A 21,696-nucleotide genomic window follows, 5' to 3' on the forward strand; every position below is an offset into this window, starting at 1 on the left:
GCCCCCGCGCCACCGTCGCCCGCCCGCCCGGGCCCCTGCAGCCGCCCAGGTGCCAGCACGGAGCGCCTGGCGGCGGAACGCAGACCCCAGGCCCGGCGCACACCGGGGACGCTGAGCGTTCCAGGCGGGAGGGAAGGCGGGCAGAGATGGAGAGAGGAACGGGAGACCTAGAGGGGCGGAAGGATGGGCGGAGGGACGTTAGGAGGGAGGGAGGGAGGCAGGGAGGCAGGGAGGCAGGGAGGAACGGAGGGAAAGACAGAGCGACGCAGGGACTGGGGGCGGGCGGGAGGGAGCCGGGGACGGGGGGAGGAAGGCAGGGAGGAAAAGCGGTCTTCGGCCTCCGGGAGTAGCGGGACCCCCGCCCTCCGGGAAAACGGTCAGCGTCCGGCGCGGGCTGAGGGCTGGGCCCACAGCCGCCGCGCCGGCCGGCGGGGCACCACCCATTCGCCCCGGTTCCGGGGCCCAGGGAGTGGGCGGTTTCCTCCGGGACAAAAGACCGGGACTCGGGTTGCCGTCGGGTTTTCACCCGCGCGGTTCACAGACCGCACATCCCCAGGCTGAGCCCTGCAACGCGGCGCGAGGCCGACAGCCCCGGCCACGGAGGAGCCACACGCAGGACGACGGAGGCGTGATTTTGGTTTCCGCGTGGCTTTGCCCTCTGCAAGGCGGCCTGTTGCTCACGTCTCTCCGGCCCCCGAAAGGCTGGCCATGCCGACTGTTTGCTCCCGGAGCTCTGCGGGCACCCGGAAACATGCAGGGGAGGGTGCAAGCCCGGCACGGTGCCTTCGCTCTCCTTGCCAGGTTCCAAACCGGCCACACTGCAGACTCCCCACGTTGCCGCACGCGGGAATCCATCGTCAGGCCATCACGCCGGGGAGGCATCTCCTCTCTGGGGTCTCGCTCTGGTCTTCTACGTGGAAATGAACGAGAGCCACACGCCTGCGTGTGCGAGACCGTCCCGGCAACGGCGACGCCCACAGGCATTGCCTCCTTCACGGAGAGAGGGCCTGGCACACTCAAGACTCCCACGGAGGTTCAGTTCCACACTCCCCTCCACCCTCCCAGGCTGGTTTCTCCCTGCTGCCGACGCGTGGGAGCCCAGAGAGCGGCTTCCCGTTCCCGCGGGATCCCTGGAGAGGTCCGGAGAGCCGGCCCCCGAAACGCGCCCCCCTCCCCCCTCCCCCCTCTCCACCTTCCTCTTCGTCTCTCCGGCCCCACCACCACCACCGCCACCACGCCCTCCCCCACCACCACCCCCCCCCCACCACCACCACCACCACCACCCCGCCGGCCGGCCCCAGGCCTCGACGCCCTGGGTCCCTTCCGGGGTGGGGCGGGCTGTCCCAGGGGGGCTCACCGCCATTCATGAAGGGGTGGAGCCTGCCTGCCCGTGGGCCTTTACAAGGGCGGCTGGCTGGCTGGCTGGCTGTCCGGGCAGGCCTCCTGGCTGCACCTGCCGCAGTGCACAGTCCGGCTGAGGTGCACGGGAGCCCGCCGGCCTCTCTCTGCCCGCGTCCGTCCGTGAAATTGCGGCCGGGGCTCACCGCGATGGCCCTCCCGACACCTTCGGACAGCACCCTCCCCGCGGAAGCCCGGGGACGAGGACGGCGACGGAGACTCGTTTGGACCCCGAGCCAAAGCGAGGCCCTGCGAGCCTGCTTTGAGCGGAACCCGTACCCGGGCATCGCCACCAGAGAACGGCTGGCCCAGGCCATCGGCATTCCGGAGCCCAGGGTCCAGATTTGGTTTCAGAATGAGAGGTCACGCCAGCTGAGGCAGCACCGGCGGGAATCTCGGCCCTGGCCCGGGAGACGCGGCCCGCCAGAAGGCCGGCGAAAGCGGACCGCCGTCACCGGATCCCAGACCGCCCTGCTCCTCCGAGCCTTTGAGAAGGATCGCTTTCCAGGCATCGCCGCCCGGGAGGAGCTGGCCAGAGAGACGGGCCTCCCGGAGTCCAGGATTCAGATCTGGTTTCAGAATCGAAGGGCCAGGCACCCGGGACAGGGTGGCAGGGCGCCCGCGCAGGCAGGCGGCCTGTGCAGCGCGGCCCCCGGCGGGGGTCACCCTGCTCCCTCGTGGGTCGCCTTCGCCCACACCGGCGCGTGGGGAACGGGGCTTCCCGCACCCCACGTGCCCTGCGCGCCTGGGGCTCTCCCACAGGGGGCTTTCGTGAGCCAGGCAGCGAGGGCCGCCCCCGCGCTGCAGCCCAGCCAGGCCGCGCCGGCAGAGGGGATCTCCCAACCTGCCCCGGCGCGCGGGGATTTCGCCTACGCCGCCCCGGCTCCTCCGGACGGGGCGCTCTCCCACCCTCAGGCTCCTCGGTGGCCTCCGCACCCGGGCAAAAGCCGGGAGGACCGGGACCCGCAGCGCGACGGCCTGCCGGGCCCCTGCGCGGTGGCACAGCCTGGGCCCGCTCAAGCGGGGCCGCAGGGCCAAGGGGTGCTTGCGCCACCCACGTCCCAGGGGAGTCCGTGGTGGGGCTGGGGCCGGGGTCCCCAGGTCGCCGGGGCGGCGTGGGAACCCCAAGCCGGGGCAGCTCCACCTCCCCAGCCCGCGCCCCCGGACGCCTCCGCGCGGCAGGGGCAGATGCAAGGCATCCCGGCGCCCTCCCAGGCGCTCCAGGAGCCGGCGCCCTGGTCTGCACTCCCCTGCGGCCTGCTGCTGGATGAGCTCCTGGCGAGCCCGGAGTTTCTGCAGCAGGCGCAACCTCTCCTAGAAACGGAGGCCCCGGGGGAGCTGGAGGCCTCGGAAGAGGCCGCCTCGCTGGAAGCACCCCTCAGCGAGGAAGAATACCGGGCTCTGCTGGAGGAGCTTTAGGACGCGGGGTTGGGACGGGGTCGGGTGGTTCGGGGCAGGGCGGTGGCCTCTCTTTCGCGGGGAACGCCTGGCTGGCTACGGAGGGGCGTGTCTCCGCCCCGCCCCCTCCACCGGGCTGACCGGCCTGGGATTCCTGCCTTCTAGGCCTAGGCCCGGTGAGAGACTCCACACAGCGGAGAACTGCCATTCTTTCCTGGGCATCCCGGGGATCCCAGAGCCGGCCCAGGTACCAGCAGGTGGGCCGCCTACTGCGCACGCGCGGGTTTGCGGGCAGCCGCCTGGGCTGTGGGAGCAGCCCGGGCAGAGCTCTCCTGCCTCTCCACCAGCCCACCCCGCCGCCTGACCGCCCCCTCCCCACCCCCACCCCCCGCCCCCGGAAAACGCGTCGTCCCCTGGGCTGGGTGGAGACCCCCGTCCCGCGAAACACCGGGCCCCGCGCAGCGTCCGGGCCTGACACCGCTCCGGCGGCTCGCCTCCTCTGCGCCCCCGCGCCACCGTCGCCCGCCCGCCCGGGCCCCTGCAGCCGCCCAGGTGCCAGCACGGAGCGCCTGGCGGTCAAAAGCATACCTCTGTCTGTCTTTGCCCGCTTCCTGGCTAGACCTGCGCGCAGTGCGCACCCCGGGTGACGTGCAAGGGAGCTCGCTGGCCTCTCTGTGCCCTTGTTCGTCCGTGAAATTCTGGCTGAATCTCTCCCCCCACCTTCCGAGGCTGTCTAGGCAAACCTGGATTAGAGTTACATCTCCTGGATGATTAGTTCAGAGATATATCAAAATTCCCCCTCCCTGTGGATCCTATAGAGGATTTGCATCTTTTGTGTGATCAGTGCAGAGATATGTCACAATATCCCCTGTAGAAAAAGCCTGAAATTGATTTACATAACTTCGGTGATCAGTGCAGATGTGTTTCAGAACTCCATAGTAGACTGAACCTAGAGAATGGTTACATCACTTAGGTGATCAGTGTAGAGATATGTTAAAATTCTCGTGTAGACAGAGCCTAGACAATTGTTACATCACCTAGTGATCAGTGCAGGGATAAGTCATAAAGCCTCCTGTAGGCAGAGTGTAGGCAAGTGTTCCCTGCCTGGGCTGATCAGTGCAGAGATATCTCACAAAGCCCCTATAAGCCAAACCTTGACAAGGGTTACATCACCTGTTTGATCAGTGGAAATATATATCACAAAGCCCCCTGTAGACAAAGCCCAGACAATTTTTACATCTCCTGAGTGAGCATTGGAGAGATCTGTCACAATGCCCCTGTAGGCAGAGCTGAGACAAGTGTTACATCATCTGGGTGATCAGTGCAGAGATATGTCAAAACGCTCCTGTAGGCTGAACCTAGACAGGAGTTACATCACCTGGGGGATCAGTGCAGAGATACGTGAGAATTCCCTTGTAGGCAGGGCCTAGACAAGTGTTACATCACCTAGGTTATCAGTGCAGAGATATGTGAGAATTCCCGTGTAGGCAGAGCCTAGACAAGTGTTACATCACCTAGTTTATCAGTGTAATTATTAGTCATAAAGCCTCCTGTAGGCAGAGCGTAGACAAGAGTTCCCTCCTCAGGATGATCAGTGCAGAGATGTGTCACAAAGCCCCTGTAGGCAGAGCCTAGACAAGAGTTTCATCACTTGGTTGATCAGTTCAGAGATGTGTCAGAATGTCCATGTAGGCAGATCTAAGACAAGCGTCCATCACCTGGGTGATCAGTGCAGAGATATGTACCAGTGTCCCCTGTAGGCAGTGCCTAGACAAGAGTTGAATCACCTCAGAGATCAGTGCATAGATATGTCACAAAGCCTTCTGTAGGCAAAGCCCATACAAGGTTTACATCACCTAGGTGATCAGTGCAGTGATATGTCACAAAAATCCCTGTAGACAGAGCCTAGACAAGAGTTACTTCACCTGGGTGATCAGTGCAGATATTTGACACAATGCCCCCATAGACAGAGCCTAGGCAAGACTTCCATCACCTGGGTGATCAGTGCAGAGATATGTCACAAATCCCCCTCTAGGCAGAGTATAGAGAAGAGTCCCATCACCTGGGTGATCAGTGCAGAGATATTTCACAATGCCCCCTGTAGGCAGAGAGTGGACAAGAGTTACATCACCTAGATGATCTGTGCAGAGCTATGTCAAAACGCCCCTGTAGGCAGAGCCTAGATGAGTGTTACATCACCTGGGTGATCATTGCAGAGATACGTCACAATACCCCCTGTAGGTGGGGCCTAGACAAGAGTTACATCACCTGGGTGATCAGTACAGAAATATGTCACAAAGCCCCTGTAGGCAGAGCCTAGACAAGAGTTACATCACCTGGGTTATCAGTGCAGAAATATGTCACAAAGCCCCTGTAGGTCGAGTCTAGACAAGAGTTACATCTCCTGGGTGATCAGTGCAAAGATATGTCACAAAGCCCCCTGTAGACAAATCCCAGAAAATTGTTACATCACCTGGGTGATCAGTGGAGATATGTGTCACAATTCCCCTTTAGGCACAGCTTAGACAAGCGTTACATCACATGAGTGATCATTGCAGAGTTATGTCACTATGCCCCCATAGGCAGATCCAAGACAAGAGTCCATCACCTGGGTGATCAGTGCAGAAATATGCCACAATGCCGCCAGTAGGCAGATATAGACAAGAGTTACATCACCTGCGTGATCACTGCAGAGATATATCACAATGCCCCTGTAGGCAGAGCCTAGACAAGAGTCCCATCACCTGGGTGATCAGTGCAGAGTTATGTCACAATGCCCCTTTTTGGCAGAGCCTAGACAAGGGTTACATCACCTGGGTGATCAGTGCAGAGATATGTCACAATGTCCCTGTAGCCATATCCTTGACAAAAGTCCCATCACCTGGGTGATCAGTGCAGAGATATGTCACAAAGCCCCTGTAGGCAGAGCCTAGACAAGAGTTACATCACTTTGTTGATCAGTTCAGAGATGTGTCACAATGCCCATGTAGGCAGAGCCTAGACAAGTGTTCCATCGCCTGGGTGATCAGTGCAGAGATATGTGACAAGGCCCCCATACACAGAGCCTAGACAACAGTCCCATCCCCTGGGTGATCAGTGCAGAAATATGTCGCAATGCCCCCATAGGCAGATCCAACACAAGAGTTACATCACCTGGGTGATCAGTGTAGAGATATGTCACAATGCCCCAATAGGCAGAGCGTAGACAAAAGTCCCATCACCAAGGTGATCAGTGCAGAGATATGTCACAAAGCCCCCATAGGCAGAGCCTAGACAAGAGTTACATCACTTGGTTGATCAGTTCAGAGATGTGTCACAATGCCCATGTAGGCAGAGCCTACACCAGTGTTACATCACTTAGGTGATCAGTGCAGAGCTATGTCACAATACCCCCGTAAGCAGAGCCTAGACAAGAGTTACATCACCTGGTTGATCAGTGCAGAGATATCTCACAATGTCCCTGCAGGCAGAGTATAGACAAGAGTTACATCACCTAGATGATCAGTGCAGAGATATTTCACAATGCCCCCTGTAGGCAGAGCCTAGATAAGAATTATATTACCTGGATGATCAGTACGGTGATATGTCACTATGCCCCCTGTGGGCGGAGCCTAGACAAGAGTTACATCACCTGGGTCATAAGGGCAGAGATATGTCACAATGCTCCAGTAGGCAGAGCCTAGACAAGAGTCCTATCACCTGGGTGATCAGTGCAGAAATATGTCACAATGCTCCCAGTAGACAGAGCCTAGACAAGAGTTACATCACCTGGGTGATCAGTGCAGAAATATGTTGCAATGCCCCCATAGGCAGATCCAACACAAGAGTTACATCACCTGGGTGATCAGTGCAGAGATATGCAACAATGCCCCCAGTAGGCAGAGCCTAGAGGAGAGTTACATCATCTGGGTGATCTTTGCAGAGATATGTCACAATCCCCCAAGTAAGCAGAGCCTAGACAAAAGTTACATCATCTGGGCGATCAGTGCAGAGAGAAGTCACAAAACCCACATAGGAAAAGACTAGACAAGAGTTACATCATCTGGGTCATCAGTGCAGACATATGTCAAAGCTGCCGTAGACAGAGTGTAGACAATTATTACATCACTTGGGTGATCAGTGCAGAGATCTATCACAGTGCCCCCATAGGCAGAGCCTAGACAAGAGTTCCATCACCTGTGTGATCAGTGTAGAGATATGTCACAATGCCTCCTGTAGGCAGAGGCTAGACAAGAGTTACATCACCTGGATTTTGTTTCCTGCAATATGTCACAATGGTGAGGGTGAGGGTTAGGGTGAGGGTTAGGGTTAGGGTGAGCATTAGGTTTAGGGTTAGGGTTAGGGTTAGGGGTTAGGCTTAGGCTTAGGGTAAGGCTTAGGGTTCAGGTTCAAGTTTGGATTCGGGTTCAGGTTAAGAGTTAGGGTTAGGGTTACTGGTTAGGGTTAGGGGTTAGGGTTAGGGGTTAGGGCTGGGTTAGGTTTAGGGTTAGGGTTAGGGTTATGGGTTACAGTTAGGGTTAGGGTTAGGTTTTAGGGTTAGGGTTAGGGTTAGGATTGGGGTTAGGTTTAGGGTTAGGGTAGTGTAAATAATTTCACATTATTACTAATAATAAATTATTATTTATATTACACTATTACTTAATGTATAGGCTATTAAGACATGTTTGTCTTCAAAGAATGGCCTTGGTTTCTGTGGACAGTTTCTCCTCATGGAAAGGTAGTGTGTTCCTGCTAAATCATGGACAAAACGGTTCCCCAGGAGCTACAGGCTGCAGAAGCAGCTTCTCCTCTATGTTCTTCACTGCCTCATACTGTTGTTGACCTTGAAACCTTCTTTTGGTCTAGTTTTATCAACAGAGCTAGTATTTACATGAGGTTCTACTACATACCAGGTTCCAGAAAGCTAAATGCTTTTTGTTTGTTTTTATTCACTAAATACAAATCACAACTCTCTTCTCATTACACACACAACAAAATTTAGCTGAGGGAGATTGAGTGACTTTCCCAGGGTCACACAGCTACTAATAGCAGAGTAGTGTTTAGATTCATATGGGAATACTGAACACAGAAATGAACCAATGGAAACATCCTACGTTCCAAAAGCCTACTCAAGCCATTTGTTCTTATTTTAAGGAAAATATGTTAATTTTAAACTCCAAATACTTATGAATAGCAGAGATCTACAGATTTGATTCTGATGTAAGAAATGATGCTCACCAGCTGGTTACTGCTACCACCCCACAACCCGCAGCATACTGGACAACTGTCTAAGCCTCGTGGTTAGTGGGGACATTGCTGGTGGAGTCTGAAATTGTCATGCAGTGACTCACTCAAGCTTAGGCAGATTTGGTGATATATGACACAGAGATGCAAAGAAATGTTGTAGCTGACACACACAGGCTGGCTCTGGGAGATGCAGAAGGAGCACGTCCCCCAAAATGAAGCCAGACAGACATCCTTAAGGAAGGAGCAAAGGGGCTTCATCTTAAAGAATGAAGAAGGGATTTGTCTTGAGAGATGTGGCAGGAATTTCTTGAGAGGCAGAGGGAGAGCATGAGAATGTTAGGAAGGCAGGAGAGACTCTCACACATCTGGGAAGCTGACAATCCATCAGCATGTCCAGGAGGAAAATAAGGAGGAGGAGCAGAAATAGATGAGGCTGGATATAGAAGCAGGGCTGAAGCTGTGTTGTTTGTGGTAAAGAGTTGTGATTCTATCCAGAAGGCAATAGGTAGCATTCTAAACAGAGATCCTTTTTTTTTTTGAGATGGAGTCTTGCTCTGTTGCCCGGGCTGGAATGCAGTGACACGATCCCGGGTCACTGCAAGCTCCTCCTCCCAGGTTCACACCATTCTCCTGCCTCAGCCTCTGGAGTAGCTGGGACTACAGTCGCCCGCCACCACACCCGGCTAATTTTTTTGTATTTTTAGTAGAGACGAGGTTTCACTGGGTTAGCCAGGATGGTCTTGATCTCCTGGCCTCGTGATCCGCTAGCCTCGGCGTCCCAAAGTGCTGGGATTACAGACGTGAGCCACCACGCCTGGCCACAGAGATCTTTTAAAACAAGAGTCAGCAAATATTTTCTGCAAAGGGCTAAATGTTAAATATTTTAAATTTTCCAAGCCATATGGTCTCTCTCTCAATGACTCAGCTCTTCCATTATACCATGAAAGTAGCCAGAGACGTTATATAACACATGTATGTGGCTGTGTCCCATTACAACTTTACTTACAAACGCAGACTGTGTCAGACATAGTCCATGTATGGTAGTTTGCCACACCTTGTTTTAGAAAGCTCAGGTTTATGATGTGATGGAGAATTCCTACAAGAGTTCTTGTTTTAAATGGTAGAGTGAACATACACTGGAATTCTATACTGCTTGACCCAAGCTTTTGATAGCAAAAGGTAGAAAAGACAGATAGTAAACAGATAGATAGATGATAGGAAGGTAGATAGATAGATGATAGATAAAGAAAGTACATAGCTGTTCCAGAAAACAGAAACTGAAAATTTCATGAACCAAAAGCAGAGTAATATACTTTAGAAAGGAAGCAGGCTGGAAAACCCACAGTTGCAAAGCAAATGGAATTTCCAACTGCCTCTTGTAGCCCCTTCCTTGAAGTAGTCATAGCTCAGGGTGTTTGACTTCTTCCTCTGTTTTTTGTTTGTTTGTTGTTTGCTTTTCTGTGGGGTTTTTGTTGTTGTTGTTTGCTTTTTTTAAAAAAAATTCCCTTTCACTGCTTTTTTGTCACAGCAGCCTTTGTCGCTTCAAACACCGCAAGTGTTCTTTTAAAAGAATTATATCAACCTTTCAAGTGAAATGCAACATGTCTGAAACGTGGTATCTGGAGAGGTGAGATGGACAAAGGAGCCCTTGTTACTGCACGTTTTCATTCTCCAAACTTCACCTTGCACACAGTAACAGACAATGCACAAATCCACTTCCTTATGGACAGAAATTCTGAAATCCTTTTATGCCTGGCCTTTCCATCCTTCAACTTCCCCTTTCCCATGCTGTGAATGATTGTATTGGACATTTTTGTTTTAATCTCAGTGACAGGGGAACACAGGTAGCTCTAATATAGCTGTGACTGAGATGCTTCTGTTTCTAGCGTGTATTTATTTTGCAGCAAACATTTACATCCATGATTTTTCACTGTCTTTTGAAAATAATTAAGCAATATCTCATCTGAGGTAGAATGTTTCTAGTGGTTGTGTTCTGAGGGAGAAAAACTAATCTTTTCTCTTTCCACTGCATTCTAGGAACAGTAAGAGGACCTTGTGAGTGAATAATTTGTTTCCACATTACAGAGTGGGTAATAAGCAGATTAGTAAAAACAATTCTGCTTCACTTCAATAACAGCCTCCTCCAACTCATTTTTTCTCAACAAACTTATTTTTCCAGCAGAAGAATCCCAGACTTCTTAGAGAACCCAGTGACTTTTTGCACCTTAAATCTGTGAAATCCTCATGTTTTCTTCTGCTGTATCTATAGTTCAAACAAAGATGAGGCAAAACTAGACGCATTCCTGAAGGAACCCAAGAAATTCCTCTTTCTGTCTCGGAATGAAATGAATTCTCCAGACCACTAGTTCTAACCTTCAAAAACCAAACCTGTTTGTGAGATCTCCTTCAAATACTACTGTAGACCCTAGTATTTATTCATTAAATTTTTAAAATATTTGTTTTATTTGGAATCAAAGTATTTGTAATTTTAGTATTTGTATTAATATAAGGGAGAAATGTTTAAATCTGCCTATGCCATATGTGCCTCTGGCTTATTGCCCAATTAATTGTAGTCTCAGGCTAAACTTTCGTTTCTGTCTTCAATTTTTGTCAGAAGAAATATAACTGATCTCAAAACATCTGCTTTTATGTAGGGACTTGTGCTGCCATCTCCATTCCTCTCTCTCTTTTTGCAATCTGGGTGGAAGTTCTTTAATATGAACATTTCAACCAGCTTCATTCTACCACATCCACTATGAGCACATTCAAACGTATCCAGCCAAGACTGTCATCTTAGGCCAGGGATCTTTTAGGAATCTATTTTGCTGTGATGTGGCTGGCACCCCTTTGATTCACTGTATCACCCCAGGGTTCTTTTCATTTTATAAGCCCAAGAGGGCAGAAAATGAAGTAGATGAGCAATTAAACACTGTGAGTCAGGAGCGTCTCCCCTTGTGTTAGGCAATGTTGTAGAACATCGTATTTAGTAAGCTCCTAGCAGATGAGCCATGTGGCTTCTGAGCACACATGCTTGCTTGCTGCTGTGAGGTCAGACACCATCATGTCTTTTCCATCTCTGGAGGGAATTGTAAGGGCCACTTAATAACCTGTAAATCAGAGAGATAAAGGTGCTTCCCCAAAACACTGATGACAGAATGAAAGGTGAGGAGTGTTAGCCACAGGTCAAAAGTACAGGAAAGTCTCTCAGTGTGGGTTGTTGAAGAAATGCAGGTCTTTTTTCTTTTGGAAGTCTCCCTAGAATGGGGTCAAGGACTCTGCCCATTCTAGGATGAAAAATTGGGATATTAGACACCTTCAGATATTTATCCCCAGCTTTCATTTTGGGCTCTTAATTAGTTTGTTCATCCATCACAATCTCAAATGCTAAGCAGGGCATTTGAATCTCTCCACAGTGCAAATCAGCGCCGTCTTTTAAAGTTGAGTTTATTCTTATTCTCACCTGATATACCTTATTTATCCCACACCCACCCCAATAACATATCGTGCTCACTGTTATCTTTGAGGCAACCCTTGAATTTTACTCAGCCTGGAGCGCTCTTCACATGTCTTGTCCAGAGCCAGTTCGGACTCATTCTTCAGCCGTGCATCAGTCAGTGGGGGCTAGCTTAAACTGTGGTGACAAACAACCTTCAAATTTCAGTGGCTCAAAAATCTTCTTCCTCATTTATTTACATCTCATGACTGGTCAGGTGAGAGGTAGCTCTGTGCTGTGTCATCCTAACACAGGAATCCAGAAGGAAGGAGGGACTGTCAATAAGATCCCCATTGCTATAGAAAAGAGAAAAAAGCATGTGGAATAGAACGCTGTTTCTTGGAGATTTCTCCTGAAAAAGTCACATGTTATTTCTTCTCACCTCCATTGGCAAAAAAAAAAAAAAAAAAAAAAAAAAAAAAGTCATGTGGCCATGGGAAAATTTAAGTAGGTGGGATGGAACAGTCAGAATGCATTCATAAAAAATGAACTGAAAATATTTGGAGAACAACACCAATGACTATCATGAATGCCAACATACATCCCTAACAACCCAGTGCTGTTACCCTCCAAACTTTTTATGTCTTGCAAAGTATTAGAACTTCATATCTGAAGCCATACCACTCAGAGGGAATGCAATACATATTGACATCTCCTTTAGGATGTCCATAGAGAATTCAAGAAAAGAAATAATTTAAAAGTGCTTTTGGGTACAGCTATTTAGCACTAGAGGGTAAGAGTAGAGATAGATTGTAAAGATAATAATAGGGTTAGGCATAGGATTAGGATCTGGGTCAGAGTCAGGGCCGGAAGTATGGTTAGAGGTGGGGTCATGGTCAGGGTCAAGATCAAAGTCAGGGTTAAAGTAAGGGTCAGAATTAAGGACCAGGGTAGGGATCAGGATTTAGGTTCAGGCTCAAAGTCTTGGGACAGGGTTAGGGTTAGGATTAGAACCAGAGCTTTGTTCTCAGGACCCACCCGAGGATGGGTCACCATGGCTTTGGAGCACCTGGTAGTGTGGCATGTCCACAGTGAAGACCAGAGTTTCGTTGTCCTTAAGACTGACCTGGGAGACGTGGCTGCAGGCCATTGAGGAAGGTGAGGCAAATCTTCCTGTCTGCTCCCCGTGTGCTGAGGAGGGAGCTCTGCCATGGGCTTTACTTTCACACGTTATATTCTACAAGTCTTGTTTTACAAAAGCATCCCTTCCTTGAGGCTTCGGCTGCTCATCACTGCTCATCATCATAGCGTGCCATAACATATAGTAAGGTTTGGGTTTGTTTCTGGGAGAGATCTTGGCATAGAGAAAGGAGAAATGCTTAGAGCCACCATCAAGACAGTTGGGATGAAAGCTGGGGATAGGCAGAGGCTGGAGGAAACATGTGCACCCCTTGTAAACACTTATTCATGTTTTAGTTATTCACTTAAAGTGTTAAATTAGTAAAAATAGTATTGAAAAATTGAAAAGTAGGCATATTAAAACTTGTAACAATATTTAAGCTTAGATATATTATTTGTACCTCATCAACATTTTTTATTTTGTTGAGAAAGTGTAAGGTTAATTGGCAGCATATTTCTAATAGTAGATAGAATAATGTCTGTTTTATAAACATTGACATCCTACATTACATGTGTGAACCCTGAAAATCTGAGACAGCTCTCAGATTTTTTAGAAAGTTTATTTTGCCAATCTTGAGGATGTGCACCCGTGATGCCTCCCCAGGAGGTCCTGACAACATGGGCCCAAGGTGGTAGGGGCACAGCTTGGTTTTATACACTTTAGGGAGACATGAGACATCAATCAATACGTGTAAGATGTACATTGGTTCAGTCCAGAAAGGTGAGAAGGCCAGACAGGGGGCTTCCAGGTCATAGGTAGGTAAGAGACAAATGGTTTCATTCTTTTGCATTGCTGATTACCCTCTCCAAATGAGGCAATCAGGTATGCATTTATCTCGGTGAGCAGATGGGTGACTTTGGATACAATGGGAGGCGGGTTTGCCCTAAGCAGTTCCCAGCTTGACTTTTCCCTTTAGCTTAGTGATTTTGGGTCCCCAAGATTTATTTTCCCTTCATAAGGTTTTCCTATGAGCATTAATTATTCATTGTGTATTTTATCACACAAATAAGGCACAGATTTTTAAAAAATCATCAACTTCCTGGCTACCTATATAGACATAATTACATAGAAGCTCAACTAAATTTGCAAACATTCCAGAGTTTGGGTTTCCAATAATTCTTTGTGATTCTTTAAAAGGTAAAGTATTTTTTCCCATAAAACATAGCAACATTTAAAATCACCCGTAGAATGTCCTGCCATTTTTGTTTCTGTAGTTTCCTCATTTTCTGCAAAGCCTTGCTGAGGAAATTGACTTTGAATATCCTTTTACACTCTTCTGTTTTAGAAAGCATTGTGGTAAAACATTGAATCATCATGGTCATAAGTTCTGTTCACATTCTTTCTTGCTTTGAATATTTTTTCCCAGTGGCCAATATTTGATTCTGTTTTATCATGGCTAAAAGGTAGGCATGGCAACAAAATAAAGACAGGAAGTCTTTGGAATAAGTGATCCCATCACAATGAATCAATTTGCCATTGGAACATATTTTTACAAAGTCACTCTTTTGAAAATATTTAGCTATGAATTAAAACAAAGTCTGTATGGTTAATATTTTTCCTGGTCTAAGGTGAACAGCATTTTAGAGAATGAACTCAGGACACAACCACTGCACAAGAAAAACGTGATAATTAAGTTTACACATATGTGTTACTACTGCAACAGAAAACATGTAAAGAACATTTGATTTATGTATCAGTCTGCACTGTTTAATTTTTTGTGTCATAAATACTCTTATTTAAAAAAACAGGACTAGTTAACAGTGTCAATTACTAGTAATTCATGGTATAAATAATTAAACAAGGAAGTGTTCAAAAAAAACAGTGTTTTAAATAAAGTTTTATTTTACATCATCTTTTTTACTTACACAGAAATTGTCAAAAAAAAGCAGAGATTTCCCATGTAGCCGCAACCTAGTTTCCTCTCTTATTAACATCTTCTATCAGTGTGTCTCACATGGCTTATTAATATCTTACATAATTTGTCACAGTTAATGAACCAATACTGATAGACTATTATTAACCGAAGTTCATATTTCATTTGGATTCCCTTAGTTCTATCTTACTCTGACCCAGGATCCCATCCAGGATCCCGCATGACATGTAGACATCACGTGGGCTCTTCCTGGCTGTGACAGTGTGTCAGGCTTTCCATCTCATGATGACCTTCATAGCACTGAGGAGGATTGGTCAGGAATGTTGTAGAATGTCCCCCATTGTCACTTCATGTTCTCAAGTTGAACTGTCACCTTTGATGTTCACTTGGATCATTTGGCAGAGCTAATGTTTGTCAGGTTTCTCCACTGTGAGGCTATTTCTCCTCCTTGTCCGTACTGCATGTGTTCTTTTGGAGCAAGTCACTATGCAGAGCCTCACTCCGTAAGGAGTTGGCTCCACCTTCTTGACGGCTGAGTGTCTACATCAATTATTTGGAATTCTTTTGCAAAGGAGATTTCTATGCAACTCCATTTGCTTATTCACCGAGGTATACAAATACAGACACCTAGATAATTACTTTAAGCTTTAGTTATTATTCAACTCTACAGTATTATGTTGCACAATTCATTCCTGTGTTGGCCATCAGTAGCTGTTTTTATTGGCTTTTATTTTTCTTTGATATGTTTTAATTTTTTTAGTACTTACTTTCTGATACTTCCAGATTATCCTGGTTCCTATATTTACTGTCCCAGTTCTAGTATCAGACATTTCTTCAAAGAGCCTGATTCCTTTCAGAATGGTAGGAAAACTTACATCTGGCTGCTGAATGAGCACATTGTATCTTCTCCCTCATTGGCAATGCTAGGAAGTATATGTGTGTGTCTAACCTACCTATACACACCTAATTATAAAGTTTTCTATGTAGAACTGTGTGTGTCTATATTAAACTAAACATAAGTTTACGTTGATGTCTCCACCTCTGATCTACTATCACATGAATCATTCTAGCCTTCTCGCCTTGCTAATTTGTAACCTCCCACTTCAACAGTAAGAAACCTGGTTCCCACCATCTGCGACTTATGTAAGTCATTGTTTTATTCCAGATACAGACACTGTGGTTTTACAATTGTTCACAATTGCTTCTTTTGGAAAGAACTTTATAAAATGGAATCCAATAATGAAGTATAGTTCATGTGCCTTCAGCCTACAGATTCTATTCATTTTCAAAGTTTTTACCTAGATTTGTGTCTTAGTCCATTTTGTGCTTCTGTAACAGAATACCTGAGGCTGCGCAATTTATAAGTAAAAAAGTTTCATTTGGTTCACAATACTGGTGGCTGGAATGTCTGAGATTGGGCAGTTGCATCTGGCAGGGCCTCAGTCTTTTTCACCTCATGGTGGAAAGTGGAAGGGGAGCAAGGGGTGCACCAGAGATCACATAGCAGAAGTGAAAGCAAGAGGGAAGCCAAGGAAGCCAGACTCTTTTTAATTACTTACTCCTGCAGGAATTATCTATTCCTGTGAGAACAGAACTCACTCACCCCCATGGAGGACATTAATCTATTCATGAGGGATCCGTCCCCATGATCCAAACACCGTCCACTAGGCCCCACCGCCCCACACTGACCCAGTGGGAGTCAAATTTCAACATGAGTTTTTGTGGGGACAAACCACATCCAAACCATAGTAATTTGTAGCATAAATTCTTTTTCACATGATGTATTCTGTCCTGGGATACTCCACATCCTGAGTAATTTGATTTAATTTGAATAGAGTTTGCTTTAACCATTTGGCTGTAAAATTCTGCATATTTCGACAAATGTATTGTGGCAGATAACCCACTATTAAAGTATCAAATGGAATGCCTCAAACCCCCACCCCATGGAGCCAATGGCTTCCCATCTGTGTAGTTTGCCTTCTCCAGTGTCTCATTAAATGAGGTCACACTGTGTGTATCCTCCTCAGACTGTCTTCTTCCACTTAGCAATGTGCATGCAAGATTCACTCATGTCTTTGTGTGTGTTGATATCTTGTTCCTTTCTATGGCTAAATAGTATTCCATTACATGAATGTAGCACAATTTGGTTATGCATTTTGGGGAGCAGAACCTTCCTCTTCTAACTTTGTTCCAGGGTTGGAGACCTTCAAATTAACTGACAATAGATACATTAGTAGGAGAGACAATACTTGGCTTCTTGTTCCCCAAGTATCATTGTGGGACAAAATTCATCAGATGGCAGGATCCAGTTTACAAAGAGGTAAAAATAGCCCAGAAACAAGAAACAAGACTAGAATCTGATAACTCACAATGGCTATAGTTTTCCTTTAAAAAAATTTTTTTTGAGACAGGGTCTGGCTCTGTCACCCAGGCTGGAGTGCAAAGGTGCAATCTCAGCTCACTGCAACCTCTACCTCCTGGGTGCAAACGATCCTCCCTCCTCAGCCTCCTGATTACCTGGGACTACAGGCACATGCCGTCATGCCCATCTAATTTTTGTATTTTTGGTAGAGACGGGGTTTCACCATGTCGCCCAGGCTGATGTTGAACTCCTGGCCTTCCAAAGGGCTGTAATTATAGGCATGTGCCACCATGCCCGGCTGTGTTATACTTTTCCTTTGAAAGATAAAATTTCTCTCTGTAGTAACCATCATTTTTTATCATAATCAAAGTAAGACTATTCTTGTTTTAAAAATAAGTCTAGTTTTGTTAGATTTTGCTTGATTATTTACGTAAGTGCAGCAAGAACAGGAGATGACCACGTAGGTGCTTTCAGGTTTCTTTGCTGGAAGTTTTCATACAGAATCTCAGACTTGACTTTTAAAGGCCTTATTCAGGCTAAAAGCCAAGCCAAGAGCATACTATCAAATTTCAGCTGCAGTCCTTATAGCTTTGTGTGAATTCCTCTCTTCTTGAGGCCCCAAAATATCCCTAAATTCCTGGGCCTACCAGGAAATGACCTTCCTTACTAACCTATAAGGCTGTGAACCCTGTAATCTAGGTATCAGGCTGGGTTTTCTCAGAGTGCTGTTGGGAATGAAGTTTTTTATGTTCCCCCCCCCAAAAAAAAGAACTAACATGGGAACAAATGATCTCTTAGCAAGGCGAGCTTTATTTTTCTGCACAAAGGGTGCTACTCAATAGCTGTCCAGCTACAAGAGCACACCAAACAAAGGAGACAGAGTTACTTATAACCTGACGTGTCTACCCTACTGCTGTGTCCAGTTTCCATTGGCTGGAATAGGACCTCCCATTTTACACTTTACCCGATTGGCTGTTAGTTTAAAACTTTCTTAATTAGGTAAGGGGAATAGAAGAAGGAAAGAAAAGGAAGTTGCCCAGGGATAGTTAAGGAAGCATCTCCAAATAAGGAATGGCATGCACTATGGGCTGGGGCTTGTCTAGTTCTGTCCAGGCATGCTGGAGCAAGCTAGGACAAGTGATTTGGAACACACACACACACACACATATAAAAATAGTGGGTAGTTGTGACTTTATAATCTTTAAGGAAGAACTTTCCTCAAAGTTTTCCACAGTGCTTTGTAAGCATTGTCTCCATAAAAGTCAACCTTACTTCCTTAAAATTGCTGGTCATAACTGATCTTAGGTACACTTCCTAAATATGATATTCCAGTAAAAACCTTGATAATATAACCAAAATTTCCAATTATGTCCTGTTATAAGGTGAATAGATTCTTACTGGACTTTTGCTAACAACAATATCATCGTGGAAATAAGAGTATTCAGTAAGGATTTCAAAATTCTGGAAAAATCAGCCAAGAAAAAAAGATAAACGCTTCATTTCTGTTTACAAAAGTATAATCTACTAAATTGTTGTAAGTTACAGTTAGAGTAAGAGAAAGAGATTTCTTAAATCCAGAAACTAGAATATTAACCAGCAATGCTCCAAAAAGCTATACAATTATAATCAATTTTCATCAGTTCATTCAGTGCCATGTAATCAATTCCAGTCTTGTGGATCTTGAGTTAGCAGTGTCATGAACCCATCAGTTTCCCAACCAGACTTCTGGAGACCTTAACTGAGTCAAGTGTATGGTCTTAAAGTTATTTAAGCAATATCATCAGAAGCCTATAACCAGAGTACCTGTCATAGTCTTTTCTGTGAGTCTCAGAGGGAGTCCTGTCTTGGAGACGAACATTCTGACCTGTAGTTGATTGCAGGAGCTTTCAGGAAAGCATCAGGGGGAAATAATATCTAAATGACAAAAAGTATGAAATGGCTGTGATGAAAGATCTGATGAGAGTTCATTATACCACAACTGACAAGGATATTCTATTTTTTCTGTGGCAGACAACATTTATTTATTTATTTATTCAGAGACAGAGTCTTGCTCTGTCGCCCAGGCTGGAGTGCAGCGGTGCGATCTCGGCTCACTGCAAGCTCTGTCTCCTGGGTTCACGCCATTCTCCTGCCTCAGCCTCCCGAGTAGCTGGGACTACAGGTGCCTGCCATCACGCCCAGCTAATTTTTTATATTTTTAATAGAGATGGAGATTCACCGGGTTAGCCAGGATGGTCTGGATCTCCTGACCTTGTGATCCACCCGCCTCAGCCTCCTAAAGTGCTGGGATTATAGGCATGAGCCACTGTGCCTGGCACAACATTTAAAGTAATAATTGGAATTATGACTCATTACTCTATAGTGGCACATAGCATGGATAAGGAGGACATTGACAAACTTCCAGGAATTTTATATAATTTCTGAAAACATAACATTTTACCCATACAAATATAACACAGGGAAGGTTAGGTATCTCTTTTTATTTGTATCTTCTGTATGGTTTTCCTTATAAAAAATGCAACCTACTTTACTTGCGAAACATGCCCTACTTTTCTTGCATGCTTTGCATAGAGTTGTTTCTAGTTATTCTATTATTTCTAGTAGTTTTATTTACATATATTGATTATAATTTTAATACTTAGTAATCTTTTATTTTCCAGAGAAAACTAGGAAGTAGACAGTTATAAACTGTCATATATTAGCATTCTATAGTAGGTTAGAAAATGTATGAATATACCATCTCCCAACATCTAGAGGGATGTGTTTCCTCATAATACAATTCCTCAGTGTGGCAGAAAAAAACATGTTTATTAACGGGCCAAAATATCTTTAGTCTCTCTGTAAAAACAGGAAGCCAAAAGTATATAAACTTGAATTATTTATGTTCAGTAATTAATGTTTTAGTATTGTATCTTATTTATAAATGGTCTAGATATTTAATGCAGATCTTTTACTTAGCTTAACTTTAAGGTTAAAAATTACCAAAAGTACTTTGGAAACTATTCTTAGGCAGATTTACTGTAAACAAATTATTTTTGAAATAATGTTTTTCGCTTTTCACAAGACGGCACCGAAAGCGAAGGAAGCTCCTGCTCCTCCTAAAGCCGAAGCCAAAGTGAAGGTTTTAAAGGCCAAGAAGGCAGTGTTGAAAGGTGTCCGCAGCCACACGCAAAAAAGAAGATCCGCATGTCACCCACCTTCAGGCGGCCCAAGACACTGCGACTCCGGAGGCAGCCCAGATATCCTCGGAAGAGCACCCCCAGGAGAAACAAGCTTGGCCACTATGCTATCATCAAGTTTCCGCTGACCACTGAGTCGGCCGGAAGAAGATAGAAGAAAACAACACGCTTGTGTTCACTGTGGATGTTAAAGCCAACAAGCACCAGATCAGACAGGCTGTGAAGAAGCTCTATGACAGTGATGTGGCCAAGGTCACCACCCTGATTTGTCCTGATAAAGAGAACAAGGCATATGTTCGACTTGCTCCTGATTATGATGCTTTCGATGTTGTAACAAAATTGGGATCATCTAAACTGAGTCCAGCTGGCTAACTCTAAATATATGTGTATTTTTTCAGCATAAAAAAATAATGTTTTTCATAAGAATGACAACTTAATTAGAATCAAATCTATAAGCTTTAAGATTTTACATTTCTAGTAAGTATAATATTAGCTTATTTGACTAGAACTCAAGCAGAATAGGAATTTATGCTTGTTTTATATTCAATAATGATAATTTTGAAGATATAGTTGTTTTATTACACCAAAAATACTATATTAATCTTATTTAACTAAGTTTTATCCAAATCATGTTAACTTAAGAAACATTTGATCAGTTCCTATATTTCTAGGAGTTTGGTGAATATTTATTTATAAATGCTTATTTTTTTCCAAGCCAAGTTAGAATAGAGCACTTTTAGAGGATTTCATAAATGAATTTTGCAATGCTCTCTGGAGTTAAGAAAATATCACATATACATAACATACATTAATAGATATACAAACACAAATAGAGATTTCATAGCTTTCATCCTGAAATTTCAGCCATGAATCAGGCATAAATATTCTGATGGTTAATTTCAGACATCTACTTGATCCGATTGAGAGACACACATAGCTGGTCAAACACGATTTCAGCCATGAATCAGGCATAAATATTCTGATGGTTAATTGTAGACATCTACTTGACTGGATTAAGAGACACACATAGCTGGTCAAACAAGATTTCAGCCATGAATCAGGCATAAATATTCTGATGGTTAATTGTAGACATCTACTTGACTGGATTAAGAGACACACATAGCTGGTCTAACACGATTTCAGCCATGAATCAGGCATAAATATTCTGATGGTTAACTTTAGGCATCTACTTGATTGGATTGAGAGACACACATAGCTGGTCAAACACGATTTCAGCCATGAATCAGCATAAATATTCTGATGGTTAATTGTAGACATCTACTTGACTGGATTGAGAGACACACATAGCTGGCCAAACACGATTTCAGCCATGAATCAGGCATAAATATTCTGATGGTTAATTTTAGACATCTACTTGACTGGATTAAGGGACACACACAGCTGGTCAAACACAATTTCAGCCATGAATCAGGCATAAATATTCTGACAGTTAATTTTAGACATCTACTTGACTGGATTAAGAGACACACATAGCTGGTCAAACATGATTTCAGCCGTGAAGCAGGCATAAATATTCTGATGGTTAATTGTAGACATCTACTTGACTGGATTGAGAGACACACATAGCTGGTCAAACACAATTTCAGCCATGAATCAGGCGTAAATATTCTGATGGTTAATTGTAGA

The 21,696-nt window shown here is 45.7% G+C and overlaps 2 pseudogenes, besides 1 other annotated feature; both read left to right on the forward strand.

Moving 5' to 3' along the window:
- Window positions 1,549-2,827, forward strand: DUX4L15 (double homeobox 4 like 15 (pseudogene); annotated as a pseudogene).
- Window positions 13,188-13,689: an enhancer, noted in NCBI's record as "NANOG hESC enhancer chr10:135508821-135509322 (GRCh37/hg19 assembly coordinates)". NCBI's record gives its function as "activates a minimal SCP1, AML or CMV promoter by ChIP-STARR-seq in primed H9 embryonic stem cells {active_cell/tissue: H9 hESC(primed)}" and the evidence as "EXISTENCE:reporter gene assay evidence [ECO:0000049][PMID:30033119]".
- On the forward strand, window positions 19,924-20,451 carry RPL23AP60 (ribosomal protein L23a pseudogene 60; annotated as a pseudogene).

This window comes from Homo sapiens, chromosome 10 (genome assembly GCF_000001405.40).
Source record: "Homo sapiens chromosome 10, GRCh38.p14 Primary Assembly".
Lineage (NCBI taxonomy): Eukaryota > Metazoa > Chordata > Mammalia > Primates > Hominidae > Homo > Homo sapiens.